This window comes from Homo sapiens, chromosome 1 (assembly GCF_000001405.40).
Source record: "Homo sapiens chromosome 1, GRCh38.p14 Primary Assembly".
Classification (NCBI taxonomy): domain Eukaryota; kingdom Metazoa; phylum Chordata; class Mammalia; order Primates; family Hominidae; genus Homo; species Homo sapiens.
In genome coordinates, this window is record NC_000001.11 from 119,162,923 (window position 1) to 119,183,903 (window position 20,981).

The following is a 20,981-nucleotide window of genomic DNA, read 5'->3' on the forward strand; positions in this document are numbered from 1 at the left end:
ACTTCCTCTCTTCCTCACATAGACTTGAAAACTCGGCGACTTTAGGATGCAACTCCAGGTTGACACATTTTCATTAGTTTAGAAAACCCACGTGTCCCACTCTCAGAATCATTATTATAGTAGAGGAGATATTCAGGGCAAGGATTCCTTGGGAAACAACATCCAGATTCAAGGGAAGACATCTGAGTCACGACAACTTAAAATCCATCCTGGCCTGCCACAAAGTGTTTCTGTAACATTAAGTACCTCATATGCAATTCTTGAAAAGGAAAATTATGTCAATATAACGTGAAATTTGTGAAACTCAAACATGATCATCTAGGCAAGGAGAGCTGAAATAGAAGAAATAAAATTATAGCCTCTAATATGAAAGGAAATACTTTTAGTGTGGTTGCTGCTAAGCAGTAGTTTTTTTCAACTGTATTTAAAAAAAATAAAAAGAAGCACTTGATTGCTGGTGATAGTGCAAGCTTGTATAAACCCAATGAAGTGAATTTAACAATACCAGCATTTACTCTTTGTTAAGAACTGAATTGTGTTCCTGTCACATTTATATGTTGACATCTTTACCCCCAGTACCTCAGAATGTGACTGTATCCGTGGACAGAGCCTTTAAAGAGGTTAACTAAGGTAAAGTGAGATCATTTGGGTGGGCCCTAATCCAATCTTGTAGTAAGAGATTAGGACACAGACAATACACAGAGGCCAAGTGAAGAGAAGACACAGGGAGAAGTTAGCCATCTACAAGCCAAATGAGAGAGGTCTGAGAAGAAATCCTATTTGCTGCCACCTTGATCTTGGAATTCCAGCATCCAGAACTGTGAAAAAATGCATTCGAATTATTTAAGCCACATAGTCTCTGGTATTTTTTTTTTTTTAGATGGAGTCTCGCTCTGTCACCCAGGCTGGAGTGCAGTGGCGCTATCTTGGCTCACTGCAAGCTCCACCTCCCGGGTTCACACCATTCTCCTGCCTCAGCCTCCCTAATAGCTGGGACTACAGGCGCCCATCACCACGCCCGGCATGGTCTCAATCTGCTGACCTCACGATCCGCCCACCTCGGCCTCCCAAAGTGCTGGGATTACAGGCGTGAGCCACTGCGCCTGGCCCAATCTGTGGTATTTTTTTATGGCAGCCCTAGCAGACTCAGACACTCATGGACACGTAACTCCGGAAACATATTTCCACAAAACAGATGCTTGTAATCCCAACACTTTGTGAGTCCGAGGTGGGTGGATCACCTGAGGTCAGAGGTTTGACACCAGCCTGACCAATATGGTGAAACTTCGTCTCTACTAAAAATACAAAAATTAGCCAGGTGTGGTGGCAGGTGCCTGTAGTTCCGGCTACTCGGGAGGCTGAGACAGGAGAACTGCTTGGACCTGGGAGGCAAAGGTTGCAGTGAGCCGAGATTGCTCCACTGCACTCCAGCCTGGGCGACAGAGCGAGACTCTGTCTCAAAAAAATTATATATATACACACACACACACACACACATATATATACACACATATATATACACACATATATATACACACATATATATATAATTAAAATTATTCACAAAAATTATTCACAAAAAAGGAACGAAAATGGAAACAAACTAATTTCTTGCCATAGGAGAATGGTGAACTATGATATATTCACACAGTGGAGTATGATGTACCCACAAAAAAACTGAGGAAAGCTGGCTGGGCATGGTGGCACACCAGCATTTTGGGATGCCAAGGAGGGAGGATGGCTTGAGCTCAGGAGTTCGAGACCAGCCTGGCCAACATGGCAAAACCCCATCTGTACTAAAAATACCAAAATTAGCCAGAGGTGGTGGCATGGGCCTGTAGTCGCAGCTACTTGGCAGGGGCCGAGGCAGGAGGATGGCTTGAACATTGGAGGTCGAGGCTGCAGTGAACTGAGATGGCACCACTGTATTCTGGCCTGGGTGACAAAGTGAGACTCTGTCTCAGAAAAAAAATACTGTGGAAAGCCTCTATGTCCCAATATGAAACAATCTCCTGGATATACTCTTGTGGAAAAAAGCAACGTTCCACAGAGTATATGTAGTAAGTTTTATCTATGTCAGAAAGAAGGAGAAATAAAAATATGTGTATGTATTTGCATATTTTTGTAAAAGGTAAACACAGGAAGGATAAACCAAAAATGCAAATAATGACCTGAGGTGACTGGGCGGTGGGGTGGGGGGTGGGGGGCGGGGTAATGAGCTAGATAAGACAGGGAGGGGAGTGTGATATCCTTGAGTATATCTTTTTATGCAGTTTGAATTTTTGAGTCATATGAATGTTTTACAATTTCAGAAATAAATTGAAAAGTTGAAAGAAGCAAACCGTACAATTGAATACATTCAGAAAAAAAAAAAACCACTTGACAAGTTGATAACACAATGATGTAGGTGAAAAGAATGAAAGTAACTTTTGAAGATAGTAATGTGAATGGGATCCATCACTCAAAGATCTGCAATAAAATCTGAAATAGTAGATTTGTTATTAGAAGTGGCATTAGAGTACTGAAATTATTTTATTTGTATTGCAGGCTGGAGAAAAAATTGTGTTCAGGCAGTTGGGAACTTAGGTTTTTCCCTGTTTAAGAAAAGAGATTTAAATACAAATGGGGAAAAGTTAGGAGGAACTCTGAAACTGGAGGATACCATGATGAGCTCTGTACCAGTAGCATTAAGCACATCTGGAAATTAGATCTTGGTTTCCAGATATCATTCTTCACTAAAGACAACAGGACTTTTTGGGCAAATGGCTAATTCTAAGTTTGGAGAAAGGAAACCACAAGACAACCCTGGAATATTTAGTGTCAGAAATCAAGGGAGTGCTCAAAGATTGGAAAAGACATGTCTAGGTAGGATGCGGTGGCTCACGCCTGTAATCCCAGCATTTTGTGAGGCTTAGATGGGCAGATCGCTTGAGTCCAGGAGTTCAAGACCAGCCTGGACAACATGGCAAGGCCCCATCTCTACAAAAAATACAAAATATTTAGCCAGGCATGGTAGTGCGTGCCTGTAGTCACAGCTACTAGGGAAGCTGAGGTGGGAGGATGGCTTGAGCCCAGGAGCTGGAGGCTGCAGTGAGCCAAGATCATGCCACTGCACTCCAGCGAGGATGACAGAGCCAGACTCTGTCTCAAAAAAAAAAAAAAAAAAAAAAAAAAAAGATGTCTAAAGAACACAGGAACAGGCTTGATGGGATGGGGCTCCGAGTGGCCACATTTCAGACAGTTTGAGAATCTCAATAACATATAACACATTAATTATAATGTGTGATTACTTATTATATATAATGATAATATAATTGGATATAATGCATTGAATTTTTAAAAATCCATGTGTATAGTGATACTAAAGAAAAGACAGGAGGACGGAGGAAAATTCTCCTTTACAAAAGAATACCAACTAATATATGTAGAAGGGTGATAAATTTACAGATATATCATTTTGCAACGTTTATGCAATAACAGATTCAGGTAAAAATCATCAATGATAAATTGCTAATAGAGAGCAGAGTATTATCCATACATCTCAAAGTGTTACATCACAGATAGCTATCAATTACAAATGGAAAAGGCATATTCCAAATGGAGACATTCAGCAGATGCCACCTAAATAAATGATTAACACTTAGCATTACCAATGGGACAAACTGATGTTAGGTGTATTGGCTGGGATGAAATGGGAAGTGTACAACATCACTTATGTAGTATACTTGCTGAAATATTTAACCTGCATCCAAACAGCAATAACCAGTCAGACAAATCCAGATTGTTGAGCACTCTTTAAGACTACAGATATGGGCTTTTGAAAAATGTCCATGTCATAAAGTGAGTAAAGGTTGGAAGGAGGGAACTGTCCTATATTACAAGAGATAAAGAAACATGAAAAATAAATTCGTCCGTAACCCTGGGTTTGATCTTGGGTTGAAATAGCAAGAAAAGAATATTACTGGGTCAATTAAGGGAATTTGAGTATAGACTGTATATTAGGTAATGTTACGGTGTCAGTTTTAACTTTATTGGATATAACAATAACATGAATAAATACAGTAATCAATTTTTCAGATATATGCTGAAGTACTTAGGGTTGAAATGTTACATTTGTAAATGACTTAGCAAACAAATACTTCTTAAAGTTTTGTAATTGTAGGTTTTACATTTAGGTGTATAATCCAAATTGAGTTATTTTTTGTAGTATGTTGTGAGTTATGGATTGAAGTTCACTTTTTTTGCCTATGAATATACAATTGTTCCAGAACCATTTATTGGAAAACTCTCCTTTGTCTATTTAATTGCCTTTGCTCCTTTGTTAAAAATCAGTTGACTCTCTATTCTGTTCTATACATCTATTTATCTTTCTGACATCAATACCGCAGTGTCGTGATTGTTACAACTTTATAATGTCTTGAAGTCAGGTAGTATATTCTCCAACTTTATTCTACTTTTTCAAAGTGTGTTGAGTATTCCAGTGCCTTTCTATTGTCATATAAATTTTAGAATCACCTTGTCAATTTCTCCAAAAAAATGCCTATGTAGATTTTTATTGGGTATGCATTGAATCCATAGATCAATCTGGGGAGTACTGTTTACATCTTAACAATATAGAATCTTGCTATTCATTAATGCAATGTATCACTTCATTTACTTAGATCTTCTTTAATTTTTCTCAGCAATATTTTGTAGTTTGCAGTAACCAAATATTAAACATCTATTGTCAAGTTTATCCCTGTTTCATACTTTTTGATGTTTTGTACATTTACAAATTTAATAGTATTTATATACAACAGAAGCAATTAGAAATTGAAATTTTTTATTTTAAAAATTGAAATTTTTGTATTTTAGTAGAGGTGAGGTTTCACCATGTTGGCCAGGCTGGTCTTGAACTCCTGACCTCAAGTGATTCACCCGCCTCAGCCTCCCAAAGTGCTGGGGTTACAGGCATGAGCCACTGTGTCCAGCGAAGCTCAACTTTTTTAGATTCACATATGAGTGAGATCATGTGGTATTTGTCTTTCTGTGTCTGGCTTATTTCACTTAACATAGTATCCTCTAGGTTCATCTACGTTGTAGCAATTGACAGAATTTCCTTCTTTTTAAAGAGTGTATACTATTCCATTGTGTATATGTACCCCATTTTCTTTATCTATTCATCTGTTGATGGACAGTTAAGTTGGTTTCATAGCTGGGTTATTGTGAATAATGCTGCAGTGAACATGGGAGTGCAGATATCTCTTCACCATTCTGATTTCATATCCTTTGGATATATACTCAGTGGTAAGATTGCTGGCTCATATGGTAGTTTTGTTTTTAATTTTGTGAGGGACCTTCATACTGTTTTTTTGTTTTGTTTTGTTTTTGTTTTTTTGCAGTTGCAAGATTTAATAGAGTGAAAACAGAGCTCTCATAAAATGGGAGGGGACCCAAAGGGGGTTGCCGTTGCTGGCTCAAATGCCTGGGCTTGTATCCTGATCATTGTCCCTCCCCTGTGCTCTCAGGCGATAGATGACTGGCTATTTCTTTACCTCCTGTTTTTGCCTAATTAGCATTTTAGTGAGCTCTCTTTACTACCTTACTGGTTGGGTGTGAGCTAAGTTGCAAGCCCCGTGTTTAAAGGTGGATGTGGTCACCTTCCCAGCTAGGCTTAGGGATTCTTAGTCAGCCTAGGAAACCCAGCTAGTCCTGTCTCTCAGTCCCCCCTCTCAACAGGAAAATGCAAGCGCTGTTGGGGAGGTTGGCCGATGACCGCTGTAACTGCTTCCTGCTGAATTGGGGCATAGTGGGGGTCGTGCAGTTGAGATTTCCTCAGGAAGGGTGCCTTTGATGTCATCAACATTGGAGCATGGGCTAGCAGGCTGGTCCAGGGGTCTGCGGTAGATCTTAGTCATGGACTACATCTGGGGCTCCATTTGAAGATTTGTAGTTTTACAGCTTCGATTCTGGAATAGACAAACTTAACAAGGAGGTTAAAGATACAGGGATTGAAATGTGTGGCCTGAAGTTCAGGGGATTATTTCTTTGGCCCACTTCACAGGCCCTGCCTATCTGCTTCAAAGTTTTGAAAAGGCCTGGTCCAGTAAATAATAATTTGGCCATCTGATGGGTGCTATCAATGCCTAAGTGAAAGGTTAGGTGAAGGGTTTTAAGTAATTTCCATCGGTTAGCTGCAGGCAAAAGTATTTTTCCTTCTTCGGTGGCTAGCCATCCTGAGGGGAGGAAACTATGTCCTTGTGAGGTTCCCCATTCTATTTCTCCTGCTGAGTACTGGAGCTTGGTTTCCCGGAGGGGATTACCCCATACTAGGTGTCCTTCTATAAGCATTTCTAATGGAGGGTCCTGCATTGCGGCTCTTTTGGCTTCAATATCCGCTTGGCAGTTCCCTTCTATTTCCCTTTCCTTTCCTTTCTGATGACCCTGTCAGTGTAAGACTGCCACCTCTTTAGGTTTCTGTACAGCCAATAATAATCTCCTAATGGCTTCCTGATGTTTGATAGGTGTTCCCTCGGAAGTTAGGAATTCCTTTTCTCTCCATATTGCTGTGTGGGCATGGAGGACTAGGTAAGCATACTTAGAGTCTGTATATATATTTACCCTTTTTCTTTCTCCTAATTCTAGTGCCTGAATGAGGGCTATTAGTTCTGCCAGCTGAGCGCTAGTTCCTGAAGTGAGGGGATTACTTTCAAGTACTCCATTATCACTGACCACTGCATACCCCACTTTTAGAAGTCCTTTTTCTACAAAGGAACTTCCATCAGTATACAAGTTGAGGTCAGGATCAGTCAAGGAAACCTCTAGAAGGTCCCCTCGAGTGGCATAGGTTTGAGCAATCATCTGTTAACAGTTATGTTCTATCTTTCCTTTATTGTCTAGAAGAAATGTGGCTGGGTTAAGAGTTGCACAAGTGCACAGTTGCAGCACTGGCCCTTCAGGTAATAGAGCCTGATATTTTAGCAAACGGTTGTCTGACAGCCACAAGTTTCCTTTAGCAGTCAGTATGCCATTTACATCATGAGATGTCCACACAGTAAGATCTCTTCCCTGTATTATTTTAACTGCTTCAGATACTAAGACTGCTACTGCCGCCACTACCCGTAAACAGTGAGGCCAACCCTTTGCCGCTACATCAGTTTCCTTACTCAGGTATGCCACGGGTTGCAAGCTGGTCCCTCGGACCTGTGTAAGGACTCCTAGATCTATTCCTTTTTTTTCTGTGACATATAAAGAAAAGTCTTGCCCCGTTGGCAAGCTTAACACTAGGGCTTGGGTTAGGGCCTTCTTTAGGGCCTGGAAAGCCACTTCTGCTTCAGGTGTCCATCTTACTAAATGGGTATTGGCTTTCTGAGTTTCCTTAATTAGTGTATATAATGGCCTGGCTATTTCGCCATACCTGGGAATCCATATTCGGCAGAAGCCTGTTATGCCAAGGAACCCTCTTGGTTGCTTTAAGGTTTTGGGATGAGGATAAGCCAGTATAGACTGGATACATTCCTCACTGAGGGCCCTGGTGCCTTTGGATAATTTTAGCCCTAAGTATTTAACCTGCTGTGAGCAGAGCTGAGCCTTTGGTTTGGAAACCGTGTAGCCATGGAAAGGAAATTTGGCGAGGAAATTTAAGAGCGCTTGGGTGGCTTGATGGCATAAGGTTTCTGAACGGGTGGCTAAAAGTAAATCATCCACTTATCAAAGGACAAGAGTGTCCAGGTATTAGAACTGGCTCAAGTCTTGGGCTAATGCCTGGCCAAATAGATGGGGGCTATCCCTGAACTCTTGGGGTAAAACAGTCCAGGTGGGTTGAGACGTTGAGTTCGAAGGATCTTCAAAGGCAAACAAGAATCGACAGTCAGGATGTACAGGTATGCAGAAAAAGGTATCCTTAAGGTCCAGGACTGTAAACCACTCTGCTTCCTCTGGTATTTGGGAAAGCAGAGTATAAGGGTTAGGTACAGCTGGGTATAGAGGGACAACAGCCTCATTGGTAATCCTGAGATCTTGCACTAACCTCCACTGTCCGTTAGGTTTCTGTACTCCTAAAATTGGAGTATTGCAGGGGCTATTGCATGGTTTTACTAGGCTTTGGGCTTTTAGGTCCTTAACAATCTTTTGGAGTCCTTGTTGGGCCTTGTGTCTAAGGCAGTACTGCCTTTGGTAGGGAAAGGAGGTGGAATCCTTTAACTTGAACAGGATGGGCATTCTTTGCTCATCCATATTGTCCTTCTGTTGCCCAGACTTCAGGATTAATTTTTTCCTCAAGCAGGGGACAACAAATGGGTGTTCCTTCTCCTATGTTCAGGTGGATAATGGCCCCTGCTTTTGCTAGAATGTCTCTCCCTAACAAGAGAGTGAGGCTTTCAGGCATAATTAGAAAAGCATGTGAAAAGTTCCCCAGTCACAACTTAGTGGCTGGGAGAAGTATCTAGTGACTGGCTGTCCTAGTAAGAGGTGACAGCATGCTGCTAGCCTTCGCAGCCCTCGCTCGCTCTCAGTGCCTCCTCTGCCTGGGCTCCCACTTTGGCGGCACTTGAGGAGCCCTTCAGCCCACCGCTGCACTGTGGGAGCCCCTTTCTGGGCTGGCCAAGGCCGGAGCTGGCTCCCTCTGCTTGCAGGGAGGTGTGGAGGGAGAGGCGCGAGCGGGAATCGGGGCTGCGCGCGGCGCTTGTGGGCCAGCGTGAGTTCCAGGTGGGCATGGGCTTGGCGGGCCCCCAAACTCAGAGCGGCCAGCTGGCCCCACCTGCCCCAGGCAGTGAGGGGCTTAGCATCTGTGCCAGCAGCTGCTGTGCTCTACTTCTCTCCGGGCCTTAGCTGCCTCCCTGCGGGGCAGGGCTTGGGACCTGCAGCCCGCCATGCCTGAGCCTCCCCCGCCTCCATGGTCTCCTGCGCGGCCCAAGCCTCCCTGACGAGCGCCGCCCCCTGCTCCACGGCACCCAGTCCCATCGACCACCCAAGGGCTGAGGAGTGCGGGCGCACGGCATGGGACTGGCAGGCAGCTCCACCTGCGGCCCCGGTGCGGGATCCACTGGGTGAAGCCAGCTGGGCTCCTGACTCTGGTGGGGACCAGGAGAACCTTTATGTCTAGCTAAGGGATTGTAAATACACCAATCGGCACTCTGTATCTAGCTCAAGGTTTGTAAACACACCAATCAGCACCCTGTGTCTAGCTCAGGGTTTGTGAATGCACCAATCGACACTCTGTATCTAGCTACTCCAGTGGGGACGTGGAGAACCTTTGTGTCTAGCTCAGGGATTGTAAACGCACCAATCAGTGCTCTGTCAAAACAGACCACTCAGCTCTCTGTAAAATGGACCAATCAGCAGGATGTGGGTGGGGCCAGATAGAATAAAAGCAGGCTGCCCCAGCCAGCAGTGGCAACCCACTTGGGTCCCCTTCCACACTGTGGAAGCTTTGTTCTTTCGCTCTTTGCAATAAGTCTTGCTGCTGCTCACTCTTTGGGTCCACACTGCCTTTATGAGCTGTAACACTCACCGCAAAAGTCTGCAGCTTCACTCCTGAAGCCAGCAAGACCACGAACCCACCGGGAGGAATGAACAACTCCCGATGCGCCGCCTTAAGAGCTGTAACACTCACCGCAAAGGTCCGCAGCTTCACTCCTGAGCCAGCGAGACCACGAACCCCACCAGAAGGAAGAAACTCCAAACACATCCAAACATCAGAAGGAACAAACTCCGGACACACCACCTTTAAGAACTGTAACACTCACCGTGAGGGTCCGCAGCTTCATTCTTGAAGTCAGTGAGACCAAGAACCCACCAATTCTGGACACATTTTGGCGACCCAGATGGGACTTTTGCTTATCGCCAAGCAGTGAGACTATCGCCGAGTGGTGACACCAACGCCTATCGCTGAGCGGTGAGACTGTCACCTATCGCCAAGCAGTGAGTACCATCGGACCCCTTTCGCTTGCTACTCTGTTGTATTTTTCCTTAGAATTCGGGGGCTAAATACTGGGCACCTGTCGGCCAGTTAAAAGCGACTAGTGTGGCTGCCAGACTAAAGACACTGGTGTCCGGCTTTCTGGGAAAGGGCTCTCTAACAACCCCCAACTCTTCGGAGTTGGGACCATTGGTTTGCCTAGAACCAGCTTCCGCTTTTCCTGTACTTCTGGGCTGAGCCGAGGGTCAACAGAGAGGAAAGCCGTGCAGCTCCCGGGTCCCAACAAGTTGGTTGACCCTGTGGCCATGAGCGGAACTCTCAAAGGCATGTCGCCCAAGCGAGACTCACCCATCTATCCTATCTATCCTGACCCTTGCCTCCTGGGTCCTAATGCCTGCCAGACAAACTTCCTCTCACCTCTCTTCTCCGAGGTTAGTCCCACTTCTAAAAATTGCTGCCTGTCTCTGGTGCTTTTCTAGTTTCTCCTGTAAGAATGATTTCTAGTATTAACTCCAAGACTCTGTTACCTTCTTTAGGCACCCGGGCTCACCAATCAGAAAGACATAATTTTTGCCCAAAGCCCCATCGTAGTGGGGACTACCTGGAATTTTAGGATCCCTTCTCAGACTAACAGGCCTAACAAAAGCTGTTCCTGAAGCTAGGATATGGGGAGCCTTAGAAATTGTATCCTTCCTATTCATATAAGTGAGGACAAAAGGTGTCACTCTTCCAACCCTGGAGATCCCTTCCCTCCCTCAGGGTATGGCCCTCCACTTCATTTTTGGGGCATAACATCTTTATAGGACAGGGGTATAGTCCCATTACTAACAGGAGAATGCTTAGGACTCTAACAGGTTTTTGAGAATGCGTCGGTAAGAGCCACTAAATCCGATTTTTCTCGGTCGGTCCTCCTTGTGGTCTAGGAGGACAGGCAAGGGTGCAGGTTTTTGAGAATTCATCAGTAAGGGCCACTAAATCCAACCTTCCTCGGTCCTCCATGTGGTCTGGGAGGAAAACTAGTGTTTCTGCTGCTGCGTCAGTGAGCGCAACTATTCTGATCAGCAGGGTCCAGGGACCGTTGCGGGTTCTTGGGCAGGGGTTGTTTCTGCTGCTGCATCAGTGAGTGCAGCTATTCCGATCAGCAGGGTCCAGGGACCGTTGTGGGTTCTTGGGCAGGGGGAGAAACAAACCAAAACCGCAGGCGGTTTTGTCTTTCAGATGGGAAACACTCAGGCATCAGCAGGCTCACCCTTGAAATGCATCCTAAGCCACTGGGACCAATTTGACCCAAAAACCCTGAAAAAGAGGTGGCTCATTTTTTTCTGCACTACGGCTTGGCCCCAATATTCTCCTTCTGATGGGGAAAAATGGCCACCTGAGGGAAGTACAAATTACAATACTACCCTGCAGCTTGACCTTTTCTGTAAGAGGGAAGGCAAATGGAGTGAAATACCTTATGTCCGAGCTTTCTTTTCATTGAGGGAGAATACACAACTATGGAAAGCTTACAATTTACATCCCACAGGAGGACCTCAGCTTGCCCCCATATCCTAGCCTCCCTATAGCTCCCCTTCCTATTAATGATAATCCTCCTCTAATCTCCCCTGCCCAGAAGGAAATAAGCAAAGAAATCTCCAAAGGTCCACAAAAGCCCCCGGGCTATCGGTTATGTCCCCTTCAAGCTGTAGGGTGAGAGGAATTTGGCCCAACCCGGGTACATGTCCCCTTCTCCCTCTGTGATTTAAAGCCAATCAAGGCAGACCTGGGGAAGTTTTCAGATGATCCTGATAGGTACATAGATGTCCTACAGGGTCCAGGGCAAACCTTTGACCTCACTTGGAGAGATGTCATGCTACTGTTAGATCAAACCCTGGCCTTTAATGAAAAAGAATGTGGCTTTAGCTGCAGCCTGAGAGTTTGGAGATACCTGGTATCTTAGTCAAGTAAATGATAGAATGACAGCTGAAGAAAGGGACAAATTCCCTACCGGTCAGCAAGCCATCCCCAGTATGGATCCCCACTGGGACCTTGACTCAGATCATGGGGGCTGGAGTCATAAACATATGTTGACCTGTGTTCTAGAAGGACTAAGGAGAATTAGAGAAAAGCCCATGAATTATTCAGTGATGTCCACCATATCTCAGGGAAAGGAAGAAAATCCTTCTGCCTTCCTCGAGCGGCTACGGGAGGCCTTAAGAAAATATACTCCCCTGTCACCCAAATCACTCGAGGGTCAATTGATTCTAAAAGATAAGTTTATTACCCAGTCAGCTGCAGGCATCAGGAGAAAGCTCCAAAAGCAAGCCCTGGGCCCTGGACAAAATCTAGAGACATTTTTAAACCTGGCAACCTCGGTGTTCTATAATACGGACCAAGAGGAACAGGCCCAAAAGGAAAAGCAAGATCAGAGAAAGGCCGCAGCCTTAGTCATTGCCCTCGGACAGACAAACCTTGGTGGTTCAGAGAGGACAGAAAATGGAGCAGGCCAATCACCTGGTAGGGCTTGTTATCAGTGTGGTTTACTAGGACACTTTAAAAAAGATTGTCCAATGAGAAACAAGCTGCCCCCTCATCCATGTCCACTATGCCGAGGCAATCACTGGAAGGTGCACTGCCTCAGAGGACAAAGGTTCCCTGGGTCAGAAGCCCCCAACTAGATGATCCAACAACAGGACTGAGGGTGCCCGGGGCAAGCGCCGGCTCATGTCATCACCCTCAGTGAGCCCCAGGTATGTTTAACTATTGAGGGCCAGGAAATTGACTTCCTCCTGGACACTGGCACGGACTTCTCAGTGTTAATCTACTGTCCTGGATGACTGTTCTCAAGGTCCATTACCATCTGAGGAATCCCAGGACAGCCTGTAACCAGGTATTTCTCCCACCTCCTCAGTTGTACTTGGGAGACTTTGTTTTTTTCACTTGCCTTTCTTGTTATGCCTGAAAGTCGCACACCCTTATTAGGGAGGGATATATTAGCCAAGGCTGGAGCTATTATCTACATGAATATGGGGAACAAGGTACCCATTTGTTGTCCCCTACTTGAGGAGGGAATCAACCCTGAAGTCTGGGCATTGGAAGGACAATTTGGAAGGGCAAAAAATGCCCTCCCAGTCCAAATCAGGTTAAAAGATCCCACCACTTATTCCTTATCAAAGGCAATATCCCTTAAGGCCTGAAGCTCATAAAGGATTAAAGAATATTGTTAAACATTTGAAAGCTCAAGGCCTAGTAAGGAAATGCAGCAGTTCCTGCAACACCCCAATTCTAGGAGTACAAAAACCGAATGGTCAGTGGGGAGTAGTGCAAGATCTTAGACTCATTAATGAGGCAGTAATTCCTCTATATCCAGTTGTACCCAACCCCTATACCCTGCTCCCTCAAATACCAGAGGAAGCAGAATGGTTCATAGTTCTGGACCTCAAGGATGCCATCTTCTGTATTCCCCTGCACTCTGACTCCCAGTTTCTCTTTGCCTTTGAGGATCCCACAGACCACACTCCCCAACTTATGTGGACGGTCTTGCCCCAAGGGTTTAGGGATAGCCCTCATCTGTTTGGTTAGGCACTGGCCAAGATCTAGGCCACTTCTCAAGTCCAGGCACTCTGGTCCTTCAATATGTGGATGATTTACTTTTGGCTACCTGTTCAGAAGCCTCGTGCCAGCAGGTTACTCCAGATCTCTTGAACTTTCTAGCTCATCAAGGGTACAAGGTGTCTAGGTCGAAGGCCCAGCTTTGCCTACAGCAGGTCAAATATCTAGGCCTAATCTTAGCCAGAGGGACCAGGGCCCTCAGCAAGGAACGAATACAGCCTATACTGGCTCATCCTCGCCCTAAGACATTAAAACAGTTGCGGGGGTTCCTTGGAATTACTGGCTTTTGCTGACTATGGATCCCCAGATACAGAGAGATAGCCAGGCCCCTCTATACTCTAATTAAGGAAACCCAGAGGGCAAATACTCATCTAGTAGAATGGGAACCAGAGGCAGAAACAGCCTTCAAAACCTTAAAGCAGGCCCTAGTACAAGCTCCAGCTTTAAGCCTTCCCACAGGACAAAACTTCTCTTTATACATCACAGAGAGAGCCAGGATAGCCCCTGGAGTCCTTACTGAGACTCGTGGGACAACCCCACAACCAATGGCGTACCTAAGTAAGGAAATTGATATAGTAGAAAAAGGCTGGCCTCACTGTTTAAGGGTAGTTGCAGCAATGGCCGTCTTAGTTTCAGAGGCTATCAAAATAATACAAGGAAAGGATCTCACTGTCTGGACTACTCATGATGTAAATGGCATACTAGGTGCCAAAGGAAGTTTATGGCTATCAGACAACCGCCTACTTAGATACCAGGTGCTACTCCTCGAGGGACCGGTGCTTCAAATACACACGTGCATGGCCCTCAACCCTGCCACTTTTCTCCCAGAGGATGGGGAACCAATCGAGCATGACTGCCAACAAATTATAGTCCAGACTTACGCCACCCGAGATGATCTCTTAGAAGTCCCCTTAAGTAATTCTGACCTTAACCTATATACCGATGGAAGTTCATTTGTGGAGAATGGGATACAAAGGGCAGGTTATGCCATAGTTAGTGATGTAACCATACTTGAAAGTAAGCCTCTTCCCCAGGGACCAGTGCCCAGTTAGCGGAACTAGTGGCACTTACCCGAGCCTTAGAACTGGGAAAGGGAAAAAGAATAAATGTGTATACAGATAGCAAGTATTCTTATCTAATCCTACATGCCCATGCTGCAATATGGAAAGAGAGGGAGTTCCTAACCTCTGGGGGAACCCCCATTAAATACCACAAGGAAATTATAGAGTTATTGCACGCAATGCAAAAACCCAAAGAGGTGGGAGTCTTATACTGCCAAAGCCATCAAAATGGGAAGGAGAGGGGAGAACAGCAGCATAAGCAGCTGGCAGAGGCAGAAAGGAAAGAGAGAAAGAGACAGGAAGTCAAAGAGACAGAGAAAGAGACAGAGAGAGGAAGAAACAGAGAGTCAAAGAGAAAGAGACAAAGAGAAGGAGTCAGAGAGAAAGAGGGACAGACACAGAAAGTCAGAGAGTCAGAAAGAGAGGAAGAGACAAAGAAGAAGTCAAAGAGAAAGAGAGATGGAAGTAGTAAGGAAAAAACAGTGTATCCCATTCCTTTAAAAGCCAGAGTAAATTTCTGTCTACCCAGCCAAGGCATGTTTTTCTTAGGTGGAACATCAACCTATATCTGCCTCCCCACTAACTGGACGGGCACCTGCACCTTAGTCTTTCTAAGTCCCAACATTAACATTGCCCCAGGAAATCAGACCTTATCAGTACCCCTCAAAGCTCAAGTCCATCAGTGCAGAGCCATACAACTAATACCCCTACTTATAGGGTTAGGAATGGCTACTGCTACAGGAACCAGAATAGCCGGTTTATCTACTTCATTATCCTACTACCACACTCTCTCAAAGGATTTCTCAGACAGTTTGCAAGAAATAACGAAATCTGTTCTTACTTTACAATCCCAAATAGACTATTTGGCAGCAGTGACTCTCCAAAACTGCCAAGGCCTAGACCTCCTCACTGCTGAGAAAGGAGGACTCTGCACCTTCTTGGGGGAAGAGTGCTGTTTGTACACTAACCAGTTGGGGATAGTACAAGATGCCGCCCAGCGTTTACAGGAAAAGACTTCTGAAATCAGACAATGCCTTTCAAACTCTTACACCAACCTCTGGAGTTGGGCAACATGGCTTCTCCCCTTTCTAGGTCCCGTGACAGCCATCTTGCTGTTATTTGCGTTTGGACCCTGTATTTTTAACCCGGTTGTCAAATTTGTTTCCTCTAGAATCAAGGCCATCAAGCGACAGATGTTCTTACAAATGGAACACCAATTGAGTTCAACTTACAACTTCTACTGAGGACCCCTGGACCGACGTGCTGGCACTTCCCCTGGCCTAGAGAGTTCCCCTCTGAAAGACACTACAACTGCAGGGCCCCTTCTTTGCCCCTATCCAGCAGGAAGTAGCTAGAGCGGTCATCAGCCAAATTCCCAACAGCAGTTGGGGTGTCCTGTTTAGAGGGGGGATTGAGAGGTGACAGCGTGCTGGCAGCCCTCGCAACCCTCGCTTGCTCTTGGTGCCTCCTCTGCCTGGCTCCCACTTTGGCAGCACTTGAGGAGCTCTTCAGCCCACCGCTGCACTGTGGGAGCCCCTTTCTGGGCTGGCCAAGGCTGGAGCTGGCTCCCTCAGCTTGCAGGGAGGTGTGGAGGGAGAGGCATGGGCGGGAACCAGGGCTGCGCATGGCGCTTGCTGGCCAGTGAGAGTTCCGGGTGGGCGTGGGCTCGGCGGGTCCCCGCACTCAGAGCAGCCAGCTGGCCCCGCCTGCCCCGGGCAGTGAGGGGCTTAGCACCTGTGCCAGCAGCTGCTGTGCTCTACTTCTCGCCGGGCCTTAGCTGCCTCCCCGTGGGGCAGGGCTTGGGACCTGCAGCCCACCATGCCTGAGCCTCCCTCGCCTCTGTGGGCTTCTGTGTGGCCCGAGCCCCCCCGACGAGCACCACCCTCTGCTCCATGGCGCCCAGTCCCATCGACCACCCAAGGGCTGAGGAGTGCGGTTACACAGCGTGGGACTGACAGGCAGCTCCACCTGCGGCCCTGGTGCAGGATCCACTGGGTGAAGCCAGCTGGGCTCCTGACTCTGGTGGGGAGTTGGAGAACCTTTATGTCTAGCTAAGGGATTGTAAATACACCAATAGGCACTCTGTATCTAGCTCAAGGTTTGTAAACACACCAATCAGCACCCTGTGTCTAGCTCAGGGTTTGTGAATGTAACAATTGACACTATGTATCCAGCTACTCTGGTGGGGACTTGGAGAACCTTTGTATCTAGCTAGGGGATTGTAAATACACCAATCGGCATTCTGTATCTAGCTCAAGGTTTGTAAACACACCAATCAGCACCCTGTGTCTAGCTCAGGGTTTGTGAATACACCAATTGACACTGTGTATCTAGCTACTCTAGTGGGGACGTGGAGAACCTTTGTGTCTAGCTCAGGGATTGTAAACGCACCAATCAGTGCCCTGTCAAAACAGACCACTCGGCTCTCTGTAAAATGGACCAATCAGCAGGATGTGGGTGGGGCCAGATAAGAGAATAAAAGCAGGCTGCCCCAGCCAGCAGTGGCAACCCGCTTGGGTCCCCTTCCACACTGTGGAAGCTTTGTTCTTTTGCTCTTTGCAGTAAGTCTTGCTGCTGCTCACTCTTTGGGTCCACACTGCCTTTATGAGCTGTAACACTCACGGCGAAGGTCTGCAGCTTTACTCCTGAAGCCAGCAAGACCACAAACCCACCGGGAGGAACAAACACCTCCAGATGCACTGCCTTAAGAGCTGTAACACTCACCGCAAAGGTCCGCAGCTTCACTCCTGAGCCAGCGAGACCATGAACCCCACCAGAAGGAAGAAACTCCAAACACATCCAAACATCAGAAGGAACAAACTCTGGACACGCTGCCTTTAAGAACTGTAACACTCACCGCGAGGGTCTGCGGCTTCATTCTTGAAGTCAGTGAGACCAAGAACCCACCAACCAGACACATTAGGACCCCTCGGATAGTGACAGATCTGGAGGACGGTTGTCTGGGACAGGAGAGTAAGACTGAGAAGGCCACGTCAATGTCCAGGAGACAGTTAATCTCCTGGCCCTCAATGATCAAGCATACCTGGGGCTCTGTGAGGGTGATGGCATGGGCTGGCACTTGCCCTGGGCACCCTCAGTCCTGCTGCTGGATCATCGGGTTAGTGGCTTCTGACTCAGAGGACCTTTGTCCCCTGGGGCAGCGGCCTTCCATTGAGTCCCTTGACATAAGGGGCACGGATGAGGAGGCGGCTTACTTCTATTCTGACAATCTTTTTAAAAGTGTCCTTGTAGACCACACTGGAAGCAAGTCCTATTAGGCATTCAATTTGCCCAGACTTTCCGTGTTCCAAAGCCTCCAATGTCTGCTTGCCTAAGGGCCATGACTAAAGCGGTGGCCTTTTTCTTATCTCATTTGTCCCCTTCCTCCTGCTCCTCCTGATCTCTATTATAAAAAACCGAGGTTGTGAAATCAATAGGGTTCCTAAGTTTTGCTCCGGGCCTAAGGTGGACTTTTGATGTTTTTTCTAATGTCTGCAGCTAACTGAGTGATAAACTTATCCTTTAAGATTAGTTGGCCTTCAATAGAGTCCGGTGACAGAGTGGTATGCTTCCTCAATGCCTCCCTTAGTCTCTCCAGAAAGGCAGTAGGATTTTCTTCCTTTCCCTGTGTGATAGTGGACACCATTGAATAATGTATAGGCTTCTTCCTACTTTTCCTTAGTCCTTCTAGCATGCAAGTTAGTAAATGTCTGTGGCACCAATCTCCATGTATTCTGCGTCCCAGTGAGGGTCTACACTGGGCTTTTTGATTCTGTAAGTACTTTAAGGGTTGGCCGAGTGCAAACAGCTCCCATGTTTGAGCAGACCAATTATTAGGCAATTTTCCTAACTCTGCTTCCGCAAGAGTCTCCCTATCAATTACTGCATACCCATTGTGTTTTTTTTTTTTCCCTCAGTCACCCGGGAGGAACCATCTATCATCCTGCCTTGAAGGTAGTTTCTGCTGGATCTGGTCAGACCTTTGTATGGTAATGAGGATTTAAATCCCCTGTTAGGAAATCTGCTAGGTTAATGTAATTTGCTGTGGTTAATGTTAAATCACCTTTTTCTAGCAGAATAGCCCCATACTTTAAGATTTTTGAGTTAGTAAGCTCCCTTTTTGCTTTTTGACTTAGGATAGTTCTGAACTGGTGAGGTGTGCTCACAATGAGGTTTCCTCTAAAGGTTATTTTTCTGCTTTCTTCTGTTAGCAAAGCAGTTGCTGCTACAGATTGAATGCATTTGGGCCATCCACGGGTTCCTGGGTTAAGGATTTTTGATAGAAAGGCTACTGGTTGTCAGTGGCTTCAGTGCTTTCGGGCTAGGCCTTTGTTTACACTGACAACAAAATGGTATTGGAGTGTTATGGGGTCACAGAGAAGACCTTCAATTATCAATTATAGGTTTTAAATTTACCCTGGCTTTTAAAGAAATAGGGTACACTTTTTTCTTTACTACTTCTATCTTTCTCTTTCTCTCTTTCTTTCTCCTTTCTGTCTTTGTAGATGGATTTTGGAAACCCAGTGGAAGGATGTTCGCTCATTGCCCCCATTTGCCACTATAGGACTATGCGCCTCCCTTTTATTTACTCAATTTGCTTTTATCCTGATCTATTATGTTGTTGTAGACCCAGTTCCAGTTGTTACAATACTGGGTTATCAGTTCTAAGGCCCTGGCAAGGGTGGTGTGGAACAGGTCCCACATAACTGCCCATGTCGAGAGCTCTAAGCCTAAATTGGGAGGGACACCAGGGACAAGACTCCTGGGTTCATAGCCTAGGGGCCTAAGGTCGCAGCATAGAGCTTCCTTAGATCCCTTTGGAGATACTAATACTTGGGAGAGGAAGTGAAAGTCTGAAGCATTAGTATCTAGGAGGCAGGGATCAGAGGAAGTAGATTCAGAGGTAAGGAGAATTTTGGGGCTACACTTTCAAGAAAGTTGTGGTCAGGACCCAGGAGGTATGGGTCAGAAGGAAAGGTAGAGGCACACGCACGGGTGACTGTTGAGTAGGGACTTCTGGCTGCGCCATGATCTCAACCGGCTAATGCCGAGAGTTTGGGATGACAGCTTTCTGCCTCTAGTCGGCCCCCGGCTTCCCCAGGGAAATTGAAAGTGGAAGCTGGTTCCAGGTAGACCAGCGCTTCCAACCCAGAAGCGTTGGGGGTTGTTAGAAAGCCATTCCCCAGACAGCCTCACACTTGAGTCTTAAGTCTGGTGGCCGCCCTATCGTTTTTAACCGTCCGACAGGTGCCTGGTATTTTCCTCCAATTCTAAGGAAGGGTAGAACAGAATAGCAAGCGAAAGCGCTTTGGAGGTCCCTTCATGATTGCCAAAATGTTACCAGGGAGTCCTTGTTCTTAGAGCTCCAAAGATGATGGTGGGCCGCTTCCATGATGGCGGCAAGCCTCTTGTTCTCTGACCTGGGGTTCCTGGCCTCACGGATACTAAGGAATGGAATCTTGGGCCATGCATTGAGTGTTATAGCTCTATTCAGCCCAATTAGGATGAACCCCAGGCACTTAGCCCGCGCAGGAACAATGGCAAGCCTCTAGCCCGATTGGGAGCAGCAATGGACACTGCCTCGCTGGATCACAAGTGCAGCAGATCCACCCCTGCCAGATCCAGAGGGTTGGAAGTCAGCTGCGGGTCTGCAATGACGGCAAACAGTGGTGGACGGCGAGTGAAAGCTCAGCTCGAGCCATAAAAAACACAGACCAGAAGAGTGTGCAGTTGCAAGATTTAATAGAGTGAAAACAGAGCTCCCATAAAATGGGAGGGGACACAAAGGGGGTTGCCCTTCATTCTGTTTTTCATAAGGACTGTACTAATTTACACTCCCACCAACAGTGAATAAGGGTTCCATTTTTTGCACGTCCTTGCCAACACATCTTATCTTCTGTGTTTTTGATAGTAGTCATTCTAATAGGCATGAAGTGATATCTCATTGTGGTTTTAATTTGCATTTCCCTGATGATTTGTGATGTTGAATATTTTTTTCATATACCTACTAGCCATTTGTATGTCTTCATTTGAGAAATTCTATTCAAGTCGTCTGACCAGTTTTTAATTAGGTTATTTGCTTTCTTACTATTGAGTTGTTTCAATTCCTTATATATTTTGGATATTAACCCCTTGTCAGATGTTTGGTTTGCAAATATATTTTCTCATTCTGCAGGTTGTCTCCTTACTCTGTTCATTATTTTTGTAGTTATGCAGAAGCTTTGTAGTTTGATGTAATCCCAGTTGTCCAATTTTGCTTTTGTTGCTTGTCATTTGGGGACATACCCATAATTGATCTTAGCCAAAAGGCTGAGAAGTGATTTGGGTCATATTAAAAAATATCATTGCCAAGACCAATATAATGGAGTTTTTTTCTAGGTTTTCTTCTGGTAAGTTTATAGTTTCAGGTCTTATGTTTAAGTCTTTAATCC

At 45.9% G+C, this 20,981-nt stretch overlaps 1 long non-coding RNA gene across 3 annotated transcripts in view; it reads left to right on the forward strand.

Annotated features, from left to right (window-relative positions):
- WARS2-AS1 (WARS2 antisense RNA 1) overlaps positions 1–20,981 on the forward strand; it is a 135,578-nt gene that overhangs the window by 22,527 nt on the left and 92,070 nt on the right. The window contains exons 3-4 of one of the 3 annotated variants that reach the window (NR_125974.1): positions 18,468–18,539; positions 19,056–20,901. The exons of the other annotated variants lie outside the window; for them this stretch is intronic. This is a non-coding gene — a long non-coding RNA (WARS2 antisense RNA 1). Of the gene's footprint in view, positions 1–18,467; positions 18,540–19,055; positions 20,902–20,981 lie in introns of those variants that run through there. 3 annotated transcript variants of the gene reach the window in all.